The following is a 23,100-nucleotide window of genomic DNA, read 5'->3' on the forward strand; positions in this document are numbered from 1 at the left end:
ACTCCAGATGAAAGAACCCCCTAAGTGCAGGCTTGAGGTGGGATGGCACAGTGAGGGCAGGAGAGGGATGATAGATGGTCCACCTGGAGCACAGTATATGCAGTGGAGGGGCAAGCAGGCAGGCCAAGGTGGGGCTGAGTGTCTGGAGTTGACCCTCGTTGCCACCGTCTTGGAGGGAGCTGAATGGTTCCAGAGTAGAGGCTGATGCCACGTGACCAGGTGAGGTGTCTTGTTGAGACCGGGCACAGTGATTCATGCCCATAATCTCAGCACTTTAGGAGGCTGAGGCAGGAGGATTATTTGACCTTAAAAAAAATTGTTCTGTTGAACTTATTGCCTTGAGACAGAGGAGCTTTCCCAGGATGGCCATTTCCTACCTGCCGGCCTCAGCTCCCATCGCCTGCCCTTATGCCCACTAAACGCGCTTGTCCAATCTCATGGTTAAGGAGCCACGGGTTATGGTTTTGGCCCCATAGATGAGGGAGAAATTTGCTGGAGGGCCTGTGGGAGTCTTTGGCTCTCTTGCAAGAGGAATACAGAGTTGGCCTTTCTCTTCCCCACTGTCCTTGCCTTCATGAAGCTGTGCTGCCCAGGCTGTCACGGTGGGACACGGAGCCCAGCCCCTGATGGCACCATCCATGTGTTGCTCTCGATCCCTGTTCTCTAGATTAGCTAAGCCAGAAAAATTAGCCTGATTTGTCTAAGCGTCTGCCCATCGGGTTTTCCCTTACTTGCCACTAAACGAGTCCTGAGTGGCTTTGCTCGTGCTGTTTCCTCCACCTGGATCTCCTTCTCTACCTTGTCCAGCTGGTGATCTCTTCCATCCAGAAATTTAACTTCAGTCTGAGTGAGCACCTCCCCAGATACCCCAGGCATCAAACACAATCATTGCTTACAGGGCTGTGTCCCTCATCAAGGAGCTGTGAGCCCCTCATGAGCAGGAACTGCTCCTTACTTCTCTTTGCACCTGGAAGGTCATAAATGATCAGCAAATATTCGTTGGATAAATGAAAGAACAAATGAATTCCATAGAAACAAGCAAGGGAAAAATGGGAAATGATTTCATCAATTCTTGCTAAGTCACAGGCTTTCTTCCTTCACAAAAGGATGCGCAAGAGAGTTGAGGATCTTGAGTCTGACAAGCAGAGAGGTGCTTCTTGTTGTATTTATCAAAGCTTCGCTATTAATCCCTGCAGGGTCAGTGAACGCATGTCAGCTCTGCACTCAGTCCTGCTGCACTTCGGTGGACTCTCACCAGAGGTCAAAGGCTATCAGCTCACTCCTTTTGTCTGACCAATGCCTTGGGTGGCTGCTCTCATCCTGACTTGAGCTAAATTGGGTGATCTGCCTGGAGACTTAGAACCTTATTCCTCCCCCCAACCATTCCCACTGCCTTTGCCTTGATCTGGACTCTTCTCTCCTCTTGCCAGGACCAATGCTGCCGCTTTCCACCTGTCCTTCCCTCCTGTGCATCCCACACAGCCTGCAGCTAAGCATGGTTCTGAGCAAGACACAGCTTCATGCAAAATATTGTACCTCTGCTTGAAGACCCAATGTGAACATTGCCCATTGATTTTTGTTTCTCGATCCCCAACTTCCCATGCCCCAAAATAGCATCCTGGGACCATAGAAATGGAATTGAGCTTTCTAAAATGATTCTGCCCATCTCCCACTTTACAGATGAAGAAAGTGAAGTCCAGGAAGTTGACATTGCCTCATTCAAAATCATGTGACTCATTAGCAGTAAGTCAAGCCTGTAGCCCAGCTTGTCACCAGGGCTGTTTTCTTCATTACATCACCATGTCTCTTCCTCTTCACTGCCTGCGTGACTATGTCTCGGCAGTCAATGGATACAGCACAGCATTGCCAGCTTGCCATGTACAAGGGGGACCTGTTTCAGATATTCCATGGAGACCCTGGCTGGAGGATTGCAGGAGAGTCCCAGGAGGCAGGACTGCCAATGGCACCAGGCTTCGCAGCCATGCACCTGCAGCCCTCAGGCAGCACTGTCCATTGTCATACGAGTGTGGCAGGTGTGAGGCATCGCATCTGCTCACCCCGGGGATAATGCACAGCAGCTACAGGCAGATTTCGGGCCAGAGAGCAACCGAGTGAGCCTTGCAGCCTCTGCTGCCAGCACAGGCTTGTTCCTTCAACACTGGTGGAGAGAGACACGCTGTCATCAGGCCCAAGAAATACTGCCTTCCCCATCCTATCCCTGGTCACTGGGTGCCCGCAGAGTGTCCCAGAGGAGGGAGGGAGGGACCCTCCACTGGTTCAAATGGCCTGTTCTCAGAGATGCAGCAATGGACCCTCGTGAATACTGAACTGATAATCATGGGAAGGAGACTGGCTCTCCTGGATTCCCTCATGATTCCTCTGAGTGACAATGTGATGTTGGCCGACTGTGTCTTCTTCAGAATATCATATACACTTGAGGTCTCCAGGAGCCTCCAATTACATTATTTTCCTGGCTCATACAGTGACAAGTAATTCTTATCCTGGATTCCTCGTTACTGAGACTTTTCTTGCCTTTTTTGTTAGCTTATGATTTATTCTAGGACTTCCTCCAACAGGTTATACTTAACTGTCTACCTCAGTCTCTGGAAGTTTTAAAAATGTTCAGCTAAATAAAAGAAGTAGATTCTCCCTGGAAACCAAATACCTATGGGCCTCACTGAATTAATAATTTATTTATTTCTAAAAAAAGGTTTTATTAATTAAGTCAAAATTTCATTGTAATTTTAAAATAATCTTGTGGTCTTTCTCCATGTGTCTGAAGCTTGTAATCACTCTTATTGTCCTGTGAATTCTGATATGCAGTTACCTGCTAGCTTAGTGGGTAAACATTTTCTCTATTAATGAGCAGGAGGCTTATTAAACTGTGACAGTTTAGACTATTCTTTCAAGGCCATTGATCAGTGAAAAAACAGAATCTGGATGCTAAAAACTGTGCCCATGTGAATTAATTTACCCCCATCTTTCCCTGAGCCATCACCTGAGTATTTGTTCCTAGGTTTGTTGGCTGCATTTGCTTAATTTTTATCTTGTGATTTCATTGAGAGGTGTAGTTGAGTGGGTGTACTTACAGCTTCTGTTCCTGTTTGAAATATCATTTGGAAACCTGATCACACCCTGCACAAGTATGCTTGTGAGGCATACTAATTCAATACCATTTGAGCAGGTGCCTCCTAACGCTGCCCTCCTCAACCTTTCTCAGCATGAATGTACGCTTTTTCATGTGCTGATTTTAACATAATCTTTGGTTCACAGTAACAGAGAATTTTGTTTGAAAAAATTCAGGGATTGAAGGGATATTGACATGTACCTAGTCACCATCTATCACTCCATCTCAGGAGCAAGTGTTCCTTGCTCTCGTGACTTTGTCCTGGTGACACAGAATTCATCCTTGTAGACCACTTACTTTCTTCCCAGGCTGGGCAGTTCTGGCTTTTGCAAAGTTCTTCATCAGCTAATTTAAGTCTGCTTTTTAAAACTTCCCATCTGCTGAATCTCATTCCACCTTTTATGCGGCAGTGTCCACTGCGCTTTCTGCAGTGACGGAAATGGTCTACAGTTGCACTGGCCAAGATGGTGGCATTACCCACACGTGGCTCTTGAGCATGGGGAATGTGGCTGGTCTGACAAAGGAACTCAATTTGTAGTTTTCTTTAATTGTAATCAACTTAAAATTACATAGGCCATATGTAGCTAGTGGCTACCCTATTGGGCAGTACAGTTCTAAAGCAATGCTGAATATTTAACGACCTTCAGATATTTGCAGACAGCTCTCCTATCCACATCTTTAGCCTTCTTTGGCCCAGCCGAACAAGTGTTTCAGATCATGCCTCTGGACTCCTTTCTGTCTCCGGACTTCGTAACAGCATGGTCACCCTTCATTCACCTCATTAGATATCTGAAGTAATGACGGAAGTAATCGATTGAGTAAATTAGTGAATGAATATGTGATTTTAATTCTTCACATAAACCTCATCCTAGCTAATCCTCTTGTCTTCTTTATAAGCTGAGGTTTTTGGTTTTATGACTGTGGATGGGAAGAGGGGATGCAGAGGATAGGACCAAGCAAGGTCGTATTTTCTTTAATAACCACATCCCCACCTGTTTCCCAGTTGGGAAAAACACAAACCGATTTGCTCTCGGGTACCACTAGTTTATTATAATAAGATGTACAAAGCAAGGCAGATGACCCTGCAGTGATAGCAGGGATGGTCACTTGTTTGGCAGAATGGCCCAGGGGAGCATCTCTAGCCGTTTCAATCCCAAGAAAGCACCTTGGGGTAGAGATGATGCAAAACCAACCTGTACATCGAAATCTATTTTTTATTATTCAAAAATTACAACCTGGTCTTCTGAAACTTATTTTTTTATGCTTTTACATCTCCTACAGCCTTACACATAATTTCTAGTGTCTTTTTAGAACCTCTCAGTATTGTAACATTTAATGCGTTCTCAGCAGCGGGTAGGTCCGTGTTATGTTTGCATTTGAAGTAGAAGAGCTAAGCTAAAAAATATGCCTTTGTTTACTAATAAGGTAGATACTATTTTTTTGTTGCTGTTGTTTGATATGGAGTTTAACTCTTGTTGCCCAGGCTGGAGTGCAATGGCTCAATCGTGGCTCACTGAAACCTCCACCTCCCAGGTTCAAACAATTCTCCTGCCTCAGCCTCTCGAGTAGCTGGGATTACAGGCATGTGCCACCACACCCGGCTAATTTTGTATGTTTAGTAGAGACGGGGTTTCTCCATGTTGGTCAGGCTGGTCTCGAACTCCCGACCTCAGGTGATCCGCTCACCTTGGCCTCCCAAAGTGCTGAAATTACAGGCATGAGCCACCACGCCCAGCCGATACTATTTTTTACTCAAACCAAAAAATATATTCTGCGAGTAAGTGATCCACTGTATCTCAGCCCATAATGATGGCCTCGACAAGGAATGAGATGGCCACAGTCAGTGTCACCCACTGGACCACAGTGATGGGCGTGGTGAACCAAGAAGTGTGGACATGGCACTGTGCTGGGTTACAGTAGTGAGGGAAGCAAGCTTAGACTAGGGAGCAAAATCAACCTGTGATGAGTTGTGCCTTCCTTTAAGCATCTTGGCATTTGTTGTTGGCATTGAGGTTATAGACCGGTGGTGCAAAGACGAGGCCACAAGGGCCACTGGAGAAGAGGGAGGAGAGCCCAATGGCTAGAATCTGGAAGGACAGCCACACGTTTCCCCCTCTGATTCTTTAATTCACCCACAACATATGCCCATGGTGAGTTCTTCAATTGCAGGCTTTTGGTACAGGAAATGAGCTCTTGCTAGAGATTTAAGACGGAGTCAAATCATGGGTCTAGCCCTAATGATGAGTAACTGATGGTGAGGATGAGAGTTGTGACAGTGCTGGTGGTCATGAGGAGGATGAGGATGATGAAGAAGAAAACAGCAGTAACAAGGACGATGATGAAAACCTGCTAATTATGGTGCTGATGCCAGGGATAATTATGGTAGTGATAATGATCATGATCCCAGGAGGACTTACTGTCATTATTTCTCAGTGGCTTTTCTTTGGGTAGAGAGTGAGATAATTAAAGTCTGGAAGGAGACAGGAACAGGGGGCGTGCAGTTCCTCAGATCCATGGGTCCCGCCCAGCTGCATGCTGGGAGTGAAACTATCAAGATTAAGAGCTATGCTGTTTCAGCAGCATTTCCACTGTCTAAATATAAACAGCCTCAGGCCCTGATCCAGCAGAGGAGACCACAGCTGCCAAATGCATCGCCAGCTGCAGGCCCTGGCTGGGTTTCTTTAGGGGAAAAGGCCATCCCACCATGGACAGGTTCCAAAAGGCATGAGCCTGCGAATAGAATTTGAGGTTCAAGGAATGCTAGACTGTGCGTCTGTGTTCAGGGTCACAGAGCGAGTCTGAAGGGAGCAGGATGAGGACATGGGTGCCCTGCCTCCAGGGCCTGTGCTCTCTGCTGGTACAGACAAGGGCCTGGTGAGATGGTAGAACAGGGGCGGCTACTGCAGTGGTGCCACCTGCGTAGGAAGACGGGAATCTAGTGGGGATGGGCAGGGGCCAGGCTCCCTTTGCTTTCGCAGGCACCCAGCTCCAGTGGCCCCTCAGTCCCAGCTACAGATGGACTTTGAGATCTGATGACAGGATCTGCTGTTATCCCACCTCTGGATCAACGGCGCCATCATCGGTGCCCCAGCTAGCCAGCAGATGTGGGCCAGAGTAAGGCTTGACTGGTCCACATGTCCTTTCTGGCTTAAGACACTGCTTATCTTGACTCAGGGAGAGAAGGAAATGGAAGAAGAAGAAGAAAGAAGATGCATTTAAAACATATTACCAAACTAATGCCATGAACACATGAAATGTCAGCCTTTTGATTCCCTCCTGCCAATACGCATCCGTTTATCCAGTGCTGACTTACTCAGCCCTGAACATGCACCAGGCGCTCTCGCAGGCACAGGGAATACTGTGGTGGACAGAGCCGGGGAAGCCCCTGCGCTCGTGGATCTTACATCCTGCTGGAAAGACCGTGCATAAATAGATGTGTTTATCATGTGTCAGGCAGGACACGTGCTCCACAGGAAAGTGACGTAAGGTAAAGGACAGGGAGCAAAGGGGAGTGTCTGGGGGAGGACGGCAGGGACGGCAGGGACGGCATGGAAGCAGTGGCCCAGCAGACGCAGGACAAGGTCCTGTGATCCGAGGAGGGGTCTCAGGGTGGAGGGACAGGGAGCAGGCCAGCGTGGCTACAGTGCATGATGTCCAGGATGAGCAAACGGAGTGATGTTTGAACATGTCATCCGGGAAAACTACACACAGGGGCAGGCTCACAGCCACTTTTTCCCCAGCTGATCTTGCTTCCTCTGTTACCAAACCACCCTCAATACAGCCTCGCAAACTGAGCAACAGAGGAGGGGGAACACAACTAATACCCCATTTGGCAGGCTGGCTGAAGGCTGTTGAAGAAACAGCAGAAACACCTGGTAATCCTTGCAGGCGTCACCCAGGCTGCGGGCCGGAGCTGTCATGGGACAAGCAGGAGGCTGGAATGGAGCTGGGATGGGAAGGAACACAGGCCATCAGCTTCCCAGGCCCCACGTTAATTGTGTAATATCATCACAGCAGGGTAGGATGCCCTGTGAGGGCACCTAACAGGTGTTCATCACATTCATCAGCATTGCCCTACCAACGACCGTATTTACATCAGGCATAAATGCAGTTTACCGCACTCTGTGAGAACTGGGGATTAATAGCTCCGGTCCAGCTAGATTCTGATTTCCTTGGTAGGAGGAGGCAGAACAGCACACATCTTGACTGAATAATCGTGCATTTTGCATGGTTAATAATTCTGAGAGCAGGAAAGCTACCTTCCTAGGATCACAGAGAGCTTACTTTCTTTTCTACGAATCTTTGAAAAACCAAACAGATGGGATTTTACCTTAAGAGTTAGATTGCACTCTTACACTGTGCTGTTCAAATTATGAATTGGCCTCACTTGGATGTTGGACTATTGATTATCAACTCTGGCAAGCTCTTTATTCAGAATCTTAGGACATGCACATTAAAAGAAAAAATCCTCTCTTTGACCTGGTTGCCACCAATGTGTATCTACATAGGATGAAAAAATGCATCACGTACTCAGAAGAACGGGCTGCAGCCCCGGAGCCCCAGTCCTTCTGCCAGCTCTGGAGCAGGGGGAGCTCCTGGCTGCACCTGAGGTGTCAGTCTCCAAGAACCTGAGCCCTTTCCACACGCATGGCTCTGTTCTAGGCACTCGGGGGAGCTCAAACAGAAAGAGAGTAAACCTGCTGCTGTTCAGTCAGAGACCCAAGTCATACTCACAAATGATCAAGCTAGTGAACTGGATGGCATTTTCACAGCTAGATCTTGTACTGCAATTATAGATTGTCACCATAAAGCTTTTGAGAGCAATTTAATAGTTAATAACATCCTAATTCTATGATGTGAGTAATCTGTGCTCTGAGAACGGCCTACATATAGGCAGAAGAACCATGAGGAGCTCTCAAAGAAAATGTGCCATATATTCAGGCACCTGGGGAGTGGTTGTAGAAAGTGTGACCTTCCAAGGCAATTGATTTTGGTTGTTCTTTAAAGGATCACTCTAGCAGTCCGGTCATTCTTATGGGTCCTCTGGTCTAGATGCCCCTCATGGAGGATCTTCTAATCTTGCATTATTAGAAATGGCAGCTAAGTGGATTATGGATGGAAACTTTCATGTTGTAAAAACACACCACCAGAAGTCAACCATTCTTATTTTGCCCACGTATTAATGCTATTTCCAAAACTGCCCGACAGCTCACGGGTGTAGGGGTTTAGGGGTCTATATTCCTTGTTAGACTCAAGCTCCTTGAAGGTAGGGAATGTGTCTTACTCATTACTGTATCCTCAGTTTCTTGCCCCATTGTGCAAGCTAAATAAACAATGAATGAATCAATGAATCAATGATGAATAAAAGGAAATTAGTTAAATTCCCCTTAGATAGCAATAATTGTCCTTCTCACCCCAGGTTATCTACAGCCAGATACCATTTGGATTATTGAATTCCTAGGATGTTCCTTGCCTCTCTGATTGTTTGCCATCTAATCATATCCACTCTTATGTTTTTATTTAACTTCTTAGTATACATACCTGATTCCCACCTTTAAGTATCCTAAAGGAACACAATGCCTTATCTTGCTTTCCCTCCGCCCTTGGCACACACCACCTACCACAACGTTGAACTTACAGTAAACGATCAAGGACAAGTTTCGGACTAATGCATTTGGATGGAATGGCTTCTGTGGCTTTCAAACAGAATTCTAGATCTGACCTAGACCAGACCCAGATCCTGCCTGGATGTCAGGACTTCCCTGTCTCTAGAGAGGCAGCATGAACAGAGACACAATGCCGGGCGGATTGTTCTGACCTGGCTCCCAGACCCAGGCCAGGGGCCAGGGTGTGTGTATAAGGGCATTTGTATTCTGATGGCCTTTGTGGGTTTTTTAAACCCCAATTGTATCATTGATTTTTTTTTTGGCATTGACGTTAAGATTTTCATTCAATGGTGATGGATTTTAAAATTGCCCTGCCATGTGGGGTGTTACTAAAGCTCATGTGGATGAAGGCTGTTGAACGCCTGTGTCTGTGCTCACACTGGCTGCTTTGCTTTCCTTTCCTGCCTGACACGTCCTCTCCATCTTCCCCTTCTCCGTTGCCATCTTCCTGCCCTTGTCTCCTGCCAGCTTCCTCCTTTTCTGCACTCAGCCTTACCCTTTCTTCCCCTTATGCTTCCTTTCTGGGACTCCCAAACCCAACTGTGCTTTAGAGAAAGAGTCCTGGACTCAACGCCAGGGAAATGCATGCCCGTGTTCCTGCCTTGCTGCCTTCTACTCTGACCTTGAGAAGGTTATGAACTCTTGGGCTTCCATTTTGCCATCTCTCAAGCCAGTGAGTTAGACCATGGATGAAAGACCGCCCATCCTAGGATTATAAACTGGGTAAGATTTGCATCAATGTGAGTCTTCACACTGATGCTGGCTCCAGGTTTCCTTTCTCCACTGTGAGCTGAGTTAAAAACTCTCTATTAGGAGGCATTTCACATACCATTGTCGAGGAGGTGGGAAATAACAATTCCATTCATTTGCCAAGTAGAAAAGCCCTTGCCTTCTTGGTTCATTCAGCAGAGGGAAAAGTAAGCTAGGCGGAGGCAGGAATGGCCTTTATTTGCAAAGGAGGCTGTGCCTCACTGTTCTTCAACAGGATGCCTAATGAGTTAGAATTTGAGTAGCATGGCTGGGTGCAGTGGCTCACGCCTGTAATCCCAGTACTTTAGGAGGCTGAGGCGGGCAGATCACAAGGTCAGGAGTTTGAGACCAGCCTGGCCAACATGGTGAAACCCTGTTTCTACTAAAAATACAAAAAAATTAGCCAGGCATGGTGGCAGGCACCTATAATCCCAGCTACTCAGGAGGCTGAGGCAGGAGAATCGCTTGAACCCAGGAGGCAGAGGTTACAGTGAGCCAAGATGTGCCGCTACACTCCTGCCTGGGTGACAGAGCGAGACGCCATCTCAAAAAAAGAAAGGTTATGCCTCACAGGTTCTGACATTCAGTAGGATTTGCACTTTGGTGCATTTTTCTTTGTACATAAAACCCTCATCTCACTTTTAGAACAGTGCAGTACTTAACTTTTTCCAGGATTAGGTATTCATTTCAGTCATGAAAAAGAAAAGGGCATTTGACCCAAATTACAAAAACTATTGAAGTAAAACTGCCCTATTTTTTCCTTCATGCTTTCATTGCAAAATGCAGTGACTGTCTGCTGCTGGATGAGTGTGTATTTGGGGGCTCTGAGGGATGGAGAAGGAGAGGCACGACTCGCAAGTGCCAGGAATTCACATTCCGCTGACGCGGGAACACGGGCAGTGTATAGACATTGTACAGACATTGTAAAGACATTAGAGCACAATTTTGAGAAAACGTGAAAGGATTTCCACAAGTCTTTATGTCCTCTGTATATTAAGGTGTTAAGACAATGGATAGCAAGAGAAAGATGGGATTTTGTGGCAGAAACTTCCAAAAAAAAAAGTTGACATGGAGCAGGTCCTCAAAGCAGGAGGCCTCAGAGTACTTTGTAGTTTAAGTAGGAGGGAGGACTCGGGTATCTGGAGATGGGAATGGAATTACCAGAGGAGAGGAGCATTGAAGAAATGGCGTCAACACTGAAGAATGTGCTGCTTTATAAGAATAATGAGCCCTTAAATGCCAGTCTGAATCTTAGCTTGACAAATGAGGCGAATCTGAACACCTTTGGGATAATAATAGCGCCTTGCTCTATTTGAGATAAAATCCATTTCTTCTGACTTCTGAAAGGAATTATTGTATTGGTCCATTTGTTTTATTTTAGGAAATTTTAAAATATGAGGTAGAAAAGTATAAAGTATTCTCCAAGTTATTAGCTAATAATTGGCTGATGTCACCCAGGTGGTTATATAATAAACTGTCTCAGTATCATTAAATTCTAGAAGTCCAGAAGAAGAAGTCAAGGACTTCTTAGTATTTTGAGGCAGAGGGAAGAACTACAAAAAAACCTCAGGGCAGGAAAATTGGACCTGTTGCAGGCCCTGAAAGCTGGTGTGATTTGAGTACAGTGAGAGAGAGACACAGAGACAGAGAGGGAGAGAAGACAGAGAGAGAGAGGGTGGGGAGACAGAGAAGGAGAGAAGACAGAGGGGAGACAGAGAGAGACAGTGGGGGCCAGTAGGGGAATGGAAGCACAATTGTGGGTTGGTGTCTCCTGGCTCAATGCCTAATGAGTTAGAATTTGAGTAGCATGGCTGGGCACCGTGGCTCATGCCTGTAATCCCAGCACTTTGGGAGGCCGAGGCAGGCAGATCACAGGGTCAGGAGATCGAGACCATCCTGGCTAACACAGTGAAACCCCGTCTCTACTAAAAAAAGAAAAAAATACAAAAAGTTAGCCAGGCGTGGTGGCAGGCACCTGTAGTCCCAGCTACTCAGGAGGCTGAGGCAGGAGAATTGCTTGAATCCAGGAGGCAGAGGTTGCAGTGAGCCAAGATCGTGCCACTGCACTCCAGCCCGGGAGACAGAGTGAGACTCCATAAAAAAAAAAAAATTGAGTAGTATATTACTTTGCTAGGGCTGTCGTAACAAAGTGCTACAGACTGGGCGTCTTCAACAATGAAAATGTATTGTCTCACGGTTCTGGAGGCCAGAAGTCAGAGATCGAGGTGTCTGCAGGGTGGGCTCCTGCTGAGGCTGTGAGGGAGTGCTGGCTCCAGGCCTCCTTCCTGCATCTGGTGGTTTTCTGGCAATCTTTGGTGTTCCCAGGTGCACCAATGCATCTCCAGCCTCTGCCTTCGTCTTCACATGGTGCTCTCCTTGTGTGCATGTCTGTCTCTGTGTCCACATTTTCCCTGTTTACACCGACACCAGTCATTTGGATAAGGATCTTTTTTAATGACCTCATTTTAACTTGATCACCCCTGCAAAGGCTCCACCTCCCAATAAAGTCCCTTTCTAAGTCCTGAGGATAACGACTCCAACATGTCTTTTCTAGGAGACACAATTCAACACATAGAAAACAGTTAAGAAAAAAAAGAGAAAATTTGGTAATTGTCTTCTGTACAGACTTCTATTAAAACAATGAAATGTTTATTTACCAAAATCAGGACCAAGTTACAGGCCAGTATTAATATATGAAACTGCTTGCGTTTCACATGTACACTTAAATTTCCAGTCCTGATTTTCATACCAAGAAACATGGCCAAGTCATCACTTCATAAAGGAAAACCGTTTTGGAAGGTAAAAAAGACAATTACTGTTTGAAACAGTCTAACATTGAACTTTAGATGTAAACTATGCCGAGCAAACATTTTTTCCAGGTAACGTTATTTGTTGCAGACAGCCTTTGGCCATTGTGTAGATCCCAAATGTGGTGAAATGGGAGCTCCCAGATCATTGCCCAGTTTCCAGCTGCCATCCCGAGTTTGTTGGTGTCACTGATTCCAAGAACAAAACACTGGTGCATGAAATTAACAACCTTATAAATAGATGACAGCACGTCTGTTAGACAAAAGGCTGCAGTTATCCCCTAGAAACAATCAAACACAATTCCAGTAAAAGTCTTGCCAAATACCTCTTTGTAATTCAAGGAACCTAACAACAGACAATATGCAGTGCCTCCTTGTTTATGTTCTGGAACTCAGCGCTGCTGCAGTGTAACTGAGAACAGGCTAGTACAACCCACAGGCATCTTGAAGTGTGCAAGGAGGCTCAGAGAGGTTTATAGCATTGTTGTTTTGTTTTGTTTTTCATGGTTCTTTATGTCATTGTTTGTTTTATAAAGTGTTATTTATAGTATGTTCATCCTTAGGGACTTTTCCTTGAAACCACCACCTTTAATGCTGATGATTGGTGTTCCCATGGACCTTGGGTTAAGGGGGCCAAATGGTATAGATGCCCTGGGGAGAGCTTGCTATTGGCCTTTGGGAGAGACCCTGCAGCAGTAGGTTTCAGCTCTCCCAGTGGCAGAGCTGGGTGATAACTGCACTTTCTTCTAAGGGCGATACATTTTGGGAATGTGCGTGGTGTGAGTTTTCTGCCAGCATCTTTATAGAGCAATGTGTACTTGCAAATAAATACAACCAAAGTCAACAAAAGAGCATATTGATGCTTTGGTAGAGAACTCAGCAGTCTCCCCTCTCTGTAGCGTAAAATCCAGGGAAAACAAAGGCCCCACAATGGGGACAGATGGCCCCGCATAGGTCTAAGGACTGCCATTCCGTTTTAAAGTTATAAAGTACTCTCACACTGTTTACCTCTTTTATTTCACAAAACCACCGCATTAAGTGGACAGGGTAGAAGATATTATCCTCACTTTTTATATGGAGAAAACGTGGCTCAGGTGACGAGGTGAATATTTGTGGGTAAGGCAAGAACTTTCTTTCTTTCTCAGTCAGTTCTCTCTACTCAAGTGGACTTCTTTTTATTATTATTATTATTATTATTATTATCATTATACTTTAAGTTCTAGGGTACATGTGCACAACGTGCAGGTTTGTTACATATGTATACATGTTACATATGTATACATGTTGGTGTGCTGCACCCATTAACTCGTCATTTACATTAGGTATATCTCCTAATGCTATCCCTCCCCCAGCCCCCCACCCCATGACAGGCCCTGGTGTGTGATGTTCCCCACCCTGTGTCCAAGTGTTCTCATTGTTCAATTCCCACCTATGACTGAGAACATGCAGTGTTTGATTTTCTGTTCTTGCGATAGTTTGCTCAGAATGATGGTTTCCAGCTTCATCTATGTCCCTTCTAAGCTGACCCCACTCCTTCCTTTCATGGTAGGCACACATGCACCGAGTAAAATGGCTGAATCTGGGCTCCAAAATGTTCTCTTCAGTCCCGCATGTTTTGGCAAACTTTCCTCTCTGCTGTGGCACTTCAATCCCGCTCTTCTCCATAAGGTCTATCCTTTTCTTCATAAAACTTTCTCATGGATGGCTCCAGTCCCAAATAAAGCTATCCTCCTGCTCCTGGCTTACTCCAATTTCCCAGCTCTTTTGGGAAATGTAAACTTTATGGTGTCATTATTCCTTTTATGTAACTTCCTTTTTTCTTTTCTGAGATGGAGTCTCACTCTGTTGACCAGGCTGGAGTACAGTGGCACAATCTCAGCTCACTGCAACCTCTGCCTCCTGGGTTCAAGCGATTCTCCTGACTCAGCCTCCTGAGTAGCTGGGATTACAGGCACTTGCCACCGTGCCCGGCTAATTTTTCGTATTTTTTGTAGACATGGGGTTTCACCATGTTGGCCAGGCTGGTCTCGAACTCCTGACCTCAGGTGATCCACCTGCCTTGGCCTCCGAAAGAGCTGGGATTACAGGCGTGAGCCACCATGCCCGGCCCTTTTATGTAATCTCTTATCCTGTCCCAAAGACAATTTTATAAAATAATAATAAGTAGCACTTTTGGGTGATTAATAGGTGCCAGGCACCATGTCAAAAACTTTCTGTCCAGTATCTCCTTTAATCTTCACAAGAAACCTATTGTGGTAACTCTTACACCATTTTATAGATGATGAAACCAAGGCTAAAGGAAATATGATGAAATGTCCAGGGTCACTCGGCTGGGAATTTGGGAAGCCAAGTTGGAAACTCAGATCTACTAATTTTCAAAGCTTGCACTTATTTTAAAGTAATGGCATATTTGGTTTGTTGTCATAGTTTAATCATGAACTGTTTCAAGTGTACAGAAAAGTACAGATGGCATTACTTAAAACCACTTGCAGCCAGGCGCAGTGGCTCATGCCTGTAATCCCAGCACTTTGGGAGGCTGAGGCAGGTGGATCACCTGAGGTCAGGAGTTTGAGACCAGCCTGACCAACATGGAGAAACCCCATCTCTACTAAAAATACAAAATTTGCCAGGCGTGGTGGTACATGCCTGTAATCCCAGCTACTTGGGAGGCTGAGGCAGGAGAATCGCTTGAACCCTGGAGGCGGAGGTTGCGGTGAGCCATTGGACTCCAGCCTGGGCAACAAGAGCGAAACTCCATCTCAAGAAACAAAAACAAAAACAAAAAACCACTCACATCCAGAATGCTCAAATTTAACAAGTGTGATCTGTCTTGTTGAATGCGTCCAGGGTCTTGAAGGTGTGTATGTATGCTGATGCACTTGGATGACCTGTTGTAAAGTATGTCAATTAGGTCAAATTAGTTGATATTTTGTTCCAGTCTTCTATTTAATTACTTTTGCTGTGAATTACTGTGTAAGAAGTATTGAAATCTCTCATTGTATTTGGAGATTTGTCTAGTTCTCTTTTCAAATCTGTCACGTTTTGCTTAGTAAATATTGAAGCTCTCACAGTAAGCACATATACATTTAGGATTTTCTTGTCTTATCATTGAATTGACCTTTTCATCATTATGAAATGTCCCTGGTAGTATTCCTTTGTCTCTGTTAATATTCTGTGTTCTTCAGTCCATTTGTTTGATAATAAACCATTGCAGCTTTCTTTTGATTCATATTTGCCTGGTAGAACTTTTTCTATCCTTTTACTTCTAACCTCTTCATATGTTTACATTTAAAGTATGTTTCTTATAAATAACATGTAGTTAGGTCTTGCTTTTTTTTTCTTTCAGTGAGACAATCTCTATCTTTTAAAAAGAATATTTAGAGAACAGATTAGCAAATTATGGCCCCTGAGCCTAATTTATCTTAGTGCCTATTTTTGTAAATAAAGATTTATTGGAAAACATCCATGAGCATTTGTTAGGTATTGTCCAAGGCTGTTTTTGTACTTCCAAAGTAGTTGCAATACAGACCGTATGGCTTGAAAAACCAAAAGCATTTATTATATGTCCCTTTATGGAAAATATGTGCTGACTCCTATTTTAAATGTTACATTTGATGTAATTGTCAGCATGATTTAATTGAAATCTACCATTTGCTATTAGGTTGGTGCAAAAGTAATTGTGGTTCTTGCCAGTAAAAGTAATACTTGTTTCTTTATGCTTCTCTCTTCTGATTTTTGGTTCAATTTTTCCTGTCCTCTTTTGGCTACTTGAGTTTCTTATTATTCCAATTTATTTTCACTGTTGGATTAACAAGCTCTTTGTTTTACTTTTTAATGGTTGATCTATGTTTACAATGGGCATTTTTAAGTTATCACAGTTTATCTTTGATTGATGGACCACTTTTGGTATATCGTGTAAAAGCCTACAGCAGTATTCTTCCATCATTTCACCATACCATCCTTTCTGATATTTTGTTGTTCATTTCATTTCTACATATGTTTAAATCCCATAATACATTGTTATTATTTGTAGTTTAGAAAATCAACTGTCTTTAAGAAAAAAAACAGCTTTATATTTATCTATTTCTTAATTCTTGTTTGTTTTTGTTTTGTTTTGAGATGGAGTCTCGTTCTGTTGCCCAGGCTAGAGTGCAATGGCACGATCTTGTCTCACTGCAACCTCTGCCTCCCAGGTTCAGGTGAGTCTCCCGCCTCAGCCTCCCATTTCTCGAGTAGCTGGGATTATAGGCACCCACCATCATGCCTGGCTAATTTTTTGTGTGTGTGTTTTTGTAGAGACAGGGTTTCACCATGTTGACCAGACTGGTCTCGAACTCCTGACCTCAGGTGATCTGTCTGCCTCGGCCTCCCAAAGTTTTGGGATTAGAGGTGTGAGCCAGCATGCCTGGCCTATTTCTTAATTCTTAATCCTTTTTTTTTTTTTTTGAGACAGGGTCTTACTCTGTCACCCAGCCTGGAGTGCAGTGGTGCGATCTCTATTCACTGCAACCTCTGCCTCCCATCTTAATTCTTTTTTATAGAAACGAATTTCCTCTGGCTTTATTTTCTTTCTGTCTGAAGAATTTATTTAACATTGTAATGCTGGTCTACTGGCAATGAATTCTCTCAACTTTTGTTTATCTGAAGAATTATTTCGCTTTCATTTTTTAAAGTTTTTTTGCTACATAAAGAATTTCAGGTGGACATTATTTTTCTTTCAGTACTTAACTATATCATTCCTTGTCTTCTGGCTAGCTTAGTTTCTGAGGGGAACTCTATTACCATTCTCATCTTTTTTTCCTTTGTGTATATGTTTCTTTTCTCTCTTGACTCATTCAAGATTTTATCTTTATCTTTGATTTTCAGCAGTTTGAATACAATGTGCATAGATGTCATTCTCTTTGTATGTAATTTGTTTAGAGTTTGTGAACTTTGCACATCTGTTTTTGGTAGTCTTCCATTCAGCCATGATTTCTTCATGTGTTTCTTCTGTCCCATCCTCTCTTGTTTTTCCTTCGGGGTCTACTCTTACATGGATATTCGGCCATTTTAATCATTCCAGGCTGGCTGTGTGCGGTGGTTCATGCCTGTAATCCCAGCACTTTGGGAGGCCGAAGTGGGCAGATCACCTGAGGTCAGGAGTTCGAGACCAGCCTGGCCAATGTGGTGAAACCCCATCTCTACTAAAAATACAACAAAAATTAGCCGAGCTAATAATCCCAGCTACTCGGGAGGCTGAGGCAGGAGAATTGCTTGAAACCAGGAGGTGGAGGTTGCAATGAGCCAAGATTGTGCCACTGGACTCCAGCCTGGGTGACGAGAGTGAAACTCTGTCTCAAAAAAAAAAAAAAAAAAAAAAAAAAATTATTTCAGGCTCTGGACTCTCTGTTCTTCTTTTATTTACTTATTTACTTTTTCTTCTTTTCTCATAAATATAATGTTAAGAAGTAGAAGTCAGACATAAAAGAATAAAACTATGATGGTTCCATATCTGCAAAGTCAAAAAATGCCCAACTAATCTATGAAAATAAAAGTCAGGTTCGGATGTAGGGTTAGAATGTAATGATTGATAGGTGCACGTGGGATTTCTTAGTGTCTGATAAAGTTCTGTTTCTTGATTTGCATGGTTGTTAGACCAGGTGGGTTCACTGCAAAACTTCATGGAACTGTACACATGATTTGTGTACTTTTTCTGGACATGTTATTCTTTTACTTAAAAGTTTATTTTAAAAATCAAAAATAGCTTTCCGTGTGTTTTTCTTCTAAAAGTCATACATTTTGTTTGGGTCCATAATCTTTTCAGAATGTATTTTTATTTATACTCTGGAGAAGGTAAGTTTATTTTTCTCCTACAATAATAGTCAACTCTTCATCATGAATGTTGCATCATTTCCTGGTAGTTTTTATCATAATCTTGGCCATGTATGCACGATCCTTTTCTCGTCTTTCTCTTCTGTTCTATTTATCTATCCTTACACAATACCACACATTAGACATTCTATAGCTTTATGACAAATCTTTGCACCTGATATGGTCAGTCCCTTCTAATTCTCTTCTTTAAAAATTGCCTTGGCTATTATTTGCCTTTTACTCTTACATGTAAATCAGGAAACAGCTTTTAAATTTTATTAAAAATCCTATTGAAATGATATTGAATTGAGATACTAAGTTGGAGAGAATTGACTACTTTATGATGTTGAATTATCCCATCCTGGAATATGCTAGATAATATAAGCACAAAGACTTCTTTTAAGTCTTCTAATAAAATGTTATAATATTCATCATAGATGTCTTAAATATAATTTAGAATAATTACTTCTGCATAATTTTAAAATAGGGTAAATTAGTGCTTCTTTTTAATCACACACTTTGCATTGAGTGTTACCAGTGAAAGGAAATGCTAAAGACTCATTAGTAGGAATCTTGTATATAGTGAAGTTACCATTTTCTTGCTAAGTTCAAATGGTTGGATTCTCTTGGATAGTCTATATGGACATTTGTAAACAATGACGGTTTTGTTTCTCCCCGTCCTTGCCTATCTCTTTTGTTTGTTTGTTTTGTGTCTTCCTACACTGGCTACTCTTTTCCATCCAATGTTAGCCCAGAAACCATGACAGCATGCACTTTAGTCTTCCTCTTAATTTAAAATGAATATTTCCATATTTTCATGCCTAAGTGTGTTTTCTGTATGCTTTGGTATCTCTTTTTTTTTTTTGAGAAGATTAATATAGATCTCTTCTATCCCTTGTTTTAATTTTCATATTTTGAATTATAAATATGCACTGTGTTTTCAAAGAATTTATTTTTCTTTGCATATAGAGGTGATCGTATTGTTCCTTTTTGTTTAATCTACTACTATAATGATTTACCTAAATGAAATGTCCAATATTAAACCAACCTTGATTATATTCCTAAAATACACCTTATTTAAATATGTTATTCTTTTTTAAATATACATTGACAGATGTACTTTGAGGGTCCTCATCTTTATTTGTACATTTTTAGTCAGTTTTACGAGCAAGAGGGTATCTGTTCCATCTGAGCTTGATCCTCTGATGATTCATTAATTCCTTTTAAACTACTGTTTCACTTCCTTTAATGGTTATACTTCTATTCAGGTATATTTCTTCCTGAGTCAATTCTAAGATTTGTTTAGAAAATTACCAATTACATTTAAATGTTCAAAATTATTTAATAAAGTTTTGTATATTTTCATATTATATTTTTCTACTAATTACATTTTCATTTTCTGTCCTTATAGTGTTTGTCCCTTTTCTGTTTTGATCTTGATCAATTTTTATATAATTTTGCATGTTAGTACTATTCTCAAAGACCTATAGTTTGGTTTTCATTTTCTCTTTTTATCTTTGCTTAATCTCTCATTAGTACCTACTCTTATTGATTGATTCCTTCTTTCTGCTATCTTTGCATTTAATCTATTTTTAAATTTTTAAGATAAAATATGGCACATTTATTTTCAGTTTTCTATCCTTTCTATGAAATAATGGGTACAAATTTTTCTCTATTATTTTAGCTGGATCTGTGAGTCTTGATACGGAGTGTTCATTACATTCAATGCTAAATATTTCATATTTTGCATTATAATTTTTTACTCATGTGTTATTTTGTTTCCGAATATATGCTTTATTTACCCTTTTCACAAAAAGTTGTTGATTATAATAAATTAGGAATTTTCTTAATTTATTACAATACAATCAAGAGTTTACTCAGTTTGAGATGAAATTTCTGTATATTTGAGACTTTGTATTTGATCAATTTTCATGACAAGGATTAATTTATAACCATTGAAAGAGGACCCTTCAATTGGCCACTGGCTTATTAGTTATATTGTTGCAATATTCTCTATCCTTACTAGATGTTAGTCTCTATGACCTATCAGTTTTTGAGAGCAATGTATTAAACATCTTATAATTCTATACACTTTTGCCTTATGTATTATGAGGCCATGTTGCTAAATGCCTACAAGTTCAGGATTGTAATCACTTCCTGATCAATTATTTCTTTTTATCATTAACTCTCCGTATTCCTAGCAATGAAATTTGTGTGTCTTTTTGTTTCCATTTCTATTTTCTCAAAGTTATATTTGTCTGCTGGGAGTATAATTGCACTAGTTTTTGTTTTCCTTTTGGTTATTTGCCTGGAATGTGTTTACCTAACCCTTACTTTACACCTTTCTTGGCCCTTATGATTTAATTATGTCCTTCCTGAATTGCATATGTTTTTAAACATCTAACTTAAAGGAATTTAACCTGCCTATAATTAGTATGATTACAGTTGAATAACAGGTTTGAACTGTGCAAGTCCACTGATAAGTGAATTTTTTACAATATTTTAGAATAATTTTTGGACACTTATGACAATTTGAGAAAACTCACAGATGAACTGAGTAGCCTAGAAATATCAAAACAATTAAGAAAAGTTAGATGGTCATAAATGCATAATATGTAGATACTAGTCTTTTTTGTTATTTTCTTCTATAAAATATACACAAATTATAAAAAGTTAAAATTGATCAAAACTTTTATACACACACATACTTATAGACTGTACATGGCAGCATTCACAGTCCAGAAAAATGTACATAAATGTAAAGATACAGCATTCAACCACAACTGCGTAAGATTAACTGTGGTGCATACTGTACTGTTGTAATAATTTTGTAGCCACCTGCTGCTGCTATTATGGTGAGCTAAGTGTGGTAGATTGCAAGTAGCTGCATGAAATGCCACGCGATGCCAATCATCTCCACATGAGCAGCTCATTTCTCCAGTAAACTGTGGATCACAGGAAAAAGTGATCTCTCACGTATTTTTCCTCATGGGTAGTGCAATACAGTAAACCTTAAATAAAACTATGGGACACATATGAAGTGCCACTAGTAATGCTGGGAGTGTTCCCATGAAGCAGAGAAAGTTAGGACATTGCAAGAAAAAGTTGAGCCGGGCGCGGTGGCTCACACCTATAATCCCAGCACTTTGGGAGGCCGAGGCAGGCGGATCACGAGGTTAGGAGATTGAGACCATCCTGGCTAACACGCTGAAACCCCCCGTCTCTACTAAAAATACAAAAAATTAGCTGGGCATGGCGGCGGGCGCCTGTAGTCGCAGCTACTCAGGAGGCTGAGGCAGGAGAATGGCGTGAACCCAGGAGGCCAGAGCTTGCAGTGAGCCGAGATCGCGCCACTGCACTCCAGCCTGGGCGACAGAGCAAGACTCTGTCTCAAAAAAAAAAAAAAAAAAAAAAAAAAAGGAAAGAAAAAGTTGAATTGCTTGATGGGTACTATAGAGTGAATGGTTACCCACCATGTTAGACAGACGATTCATCTTGTAAACAGAAAACATGAACTTATTATAGTCCTGTAAATGTATTTTCTTTTCCTTATGATGTTTATAACATTTTCTTTTCTCTAGCTTGCTTTATTGCAAGAATACAGCATATAATACCTATAATGTGCTAAATATGTGTTAATTGACTATGTTATTAGTAAAGCTATTAGTAGTTAAGTTTTGGAGGAGCCAAAATCATACATGTATTTTTAACTACACGGGAAGTTGGCATCTCTAATCTTTGTGTTGTTCAAGGGTCAACTGTACTGGTAAACTTGAACTATTCCTAAAATAATATTTAGTTTTTTCTTTTTTTTTTCTTTTTTTTTTTGAGACAGAGTCTCGCTCTGTCACCCAGGCTGGAGTGCAGTGGCACGATCTCAGCTCACTGCAAGCTCCGCCTCCCAGGTTCAAGCAATTCTCCTGCCTCAGCCTCCCAAGTAGCTGGGATTACAGGCATGTGCCACCACACCTGGCTAATTTTTTGTATTTTTAATAGAGATGGGGTTTCCCTGTGTTAGCCAGGATGGTCTTGATCTCCTGACCTCGTGATCCGCCCCCTCGGCCTCCCAAAGTGCCAGGATTACAGGCGTGAGCCACTGTGCCCCACCTAGTTTTTTCTAAATACCATGCTTGCATTTTTTAGGAGTGATCATATATATATATATATATATATTTTGAGATGGAATCTCGCTCTGTTACCCAGGCTGGAGTGCAGTGGCGCAATCTCAGCTCACTGCAACCTCTGCCTCCCAGGTTCAAAGGATTCTCCTGCCTCAGCCTCTTGAGTAGCTGGGACTACAGGAGCGTGCCACTACACCTGGCTAATTTTTTTTTTTTTTGTATTTTTAGTAGAGGTGAGGTTTCACCATGTTGGCCAGGCTGGTCTTGAACTCCTGACCTCAAGTGATCCGCCTGCCTTGGCCTCCCAAAGTGCCAGGATTACAGGCTGAGCCACTGCGCCCGGCCGATCATATGTTCTTTGTTGCTGTTTTCCTTTCCAGTCATCCCTGTACTCATTTCATGTTATTGCTCTTGGGTCTTTTGATTCCATCATTTTAACCTTCTGTCAATTAGTCATAATAATCATTACTGATTTATACAGCTTAATTTATACATATTCAATAATTGATTGCTAATCGTTGACAACTACCCCTCCCTTCTGAATTTGGTCACCTTTAGGAGTCATCTCCGTGAATATCTGTGACTGATAAACTGCTTCAGTTCAGGTAGATGGAATTTTCTAGTTCCAGTCCCGTTTTCAAGAAAGTTTAATCTATGTATGGGTACTGGCTTTATTAAGGGTCAACAGTTTTAGATCCTAACCCCAGGAGGGCCCAAGGCACTCACCCTGTTTCTGTAAGGTCATCACAACCTCAGACCCTAGGCCTGTATTCAGACCT

General features: G+C 42.2%; 1 protein-coding gene across 14 annotated transcripts in view; it reads left to right on the forward strand.

The window, feature by feature from the left end:
- DPP6 (dipeptidyl peptidase like 6) overlaps positions 1-23,100 on the forward strand; it is a 1,146,153-nt gene that overhangs the window by 837,837 nt on the left and 285,216 nt on the right. The window contains exon 6 of one of the 14 annotated variants that reach the window (NM_001290253.2): positions 1,681-2,662. The exons of 12 other annotated variants lie outside the window; for them this stretch is intronic. In NM_001290253.2, coding sequence (NP_001277182.1) covers positions 1,681-2,115 — 435 coding nt within the window. In that variant the 3' untranslated portion in view covers positions 2,116-2,662. Of the gene's footprint in view, positions 1-1,196; positions 2,663-23,100 lie in introns of those variants that run through there. One more of the 14 variants, NM_001364502.2, reaches the window with a different exon arrangement.

Source organism: Homo sapiens, chromosome 7 (assembly GCF_000001405.40).
Source record: "Homo sapiens chromosome 7, GRCh38.p14 Primary Assembly".
Taxonomy (NCBI): domain Eukaryota; kingdom Metazoa; phylum Chordata; class Mammalia; order Primates; family Hominidae; genus Homo; species Homo sapiens.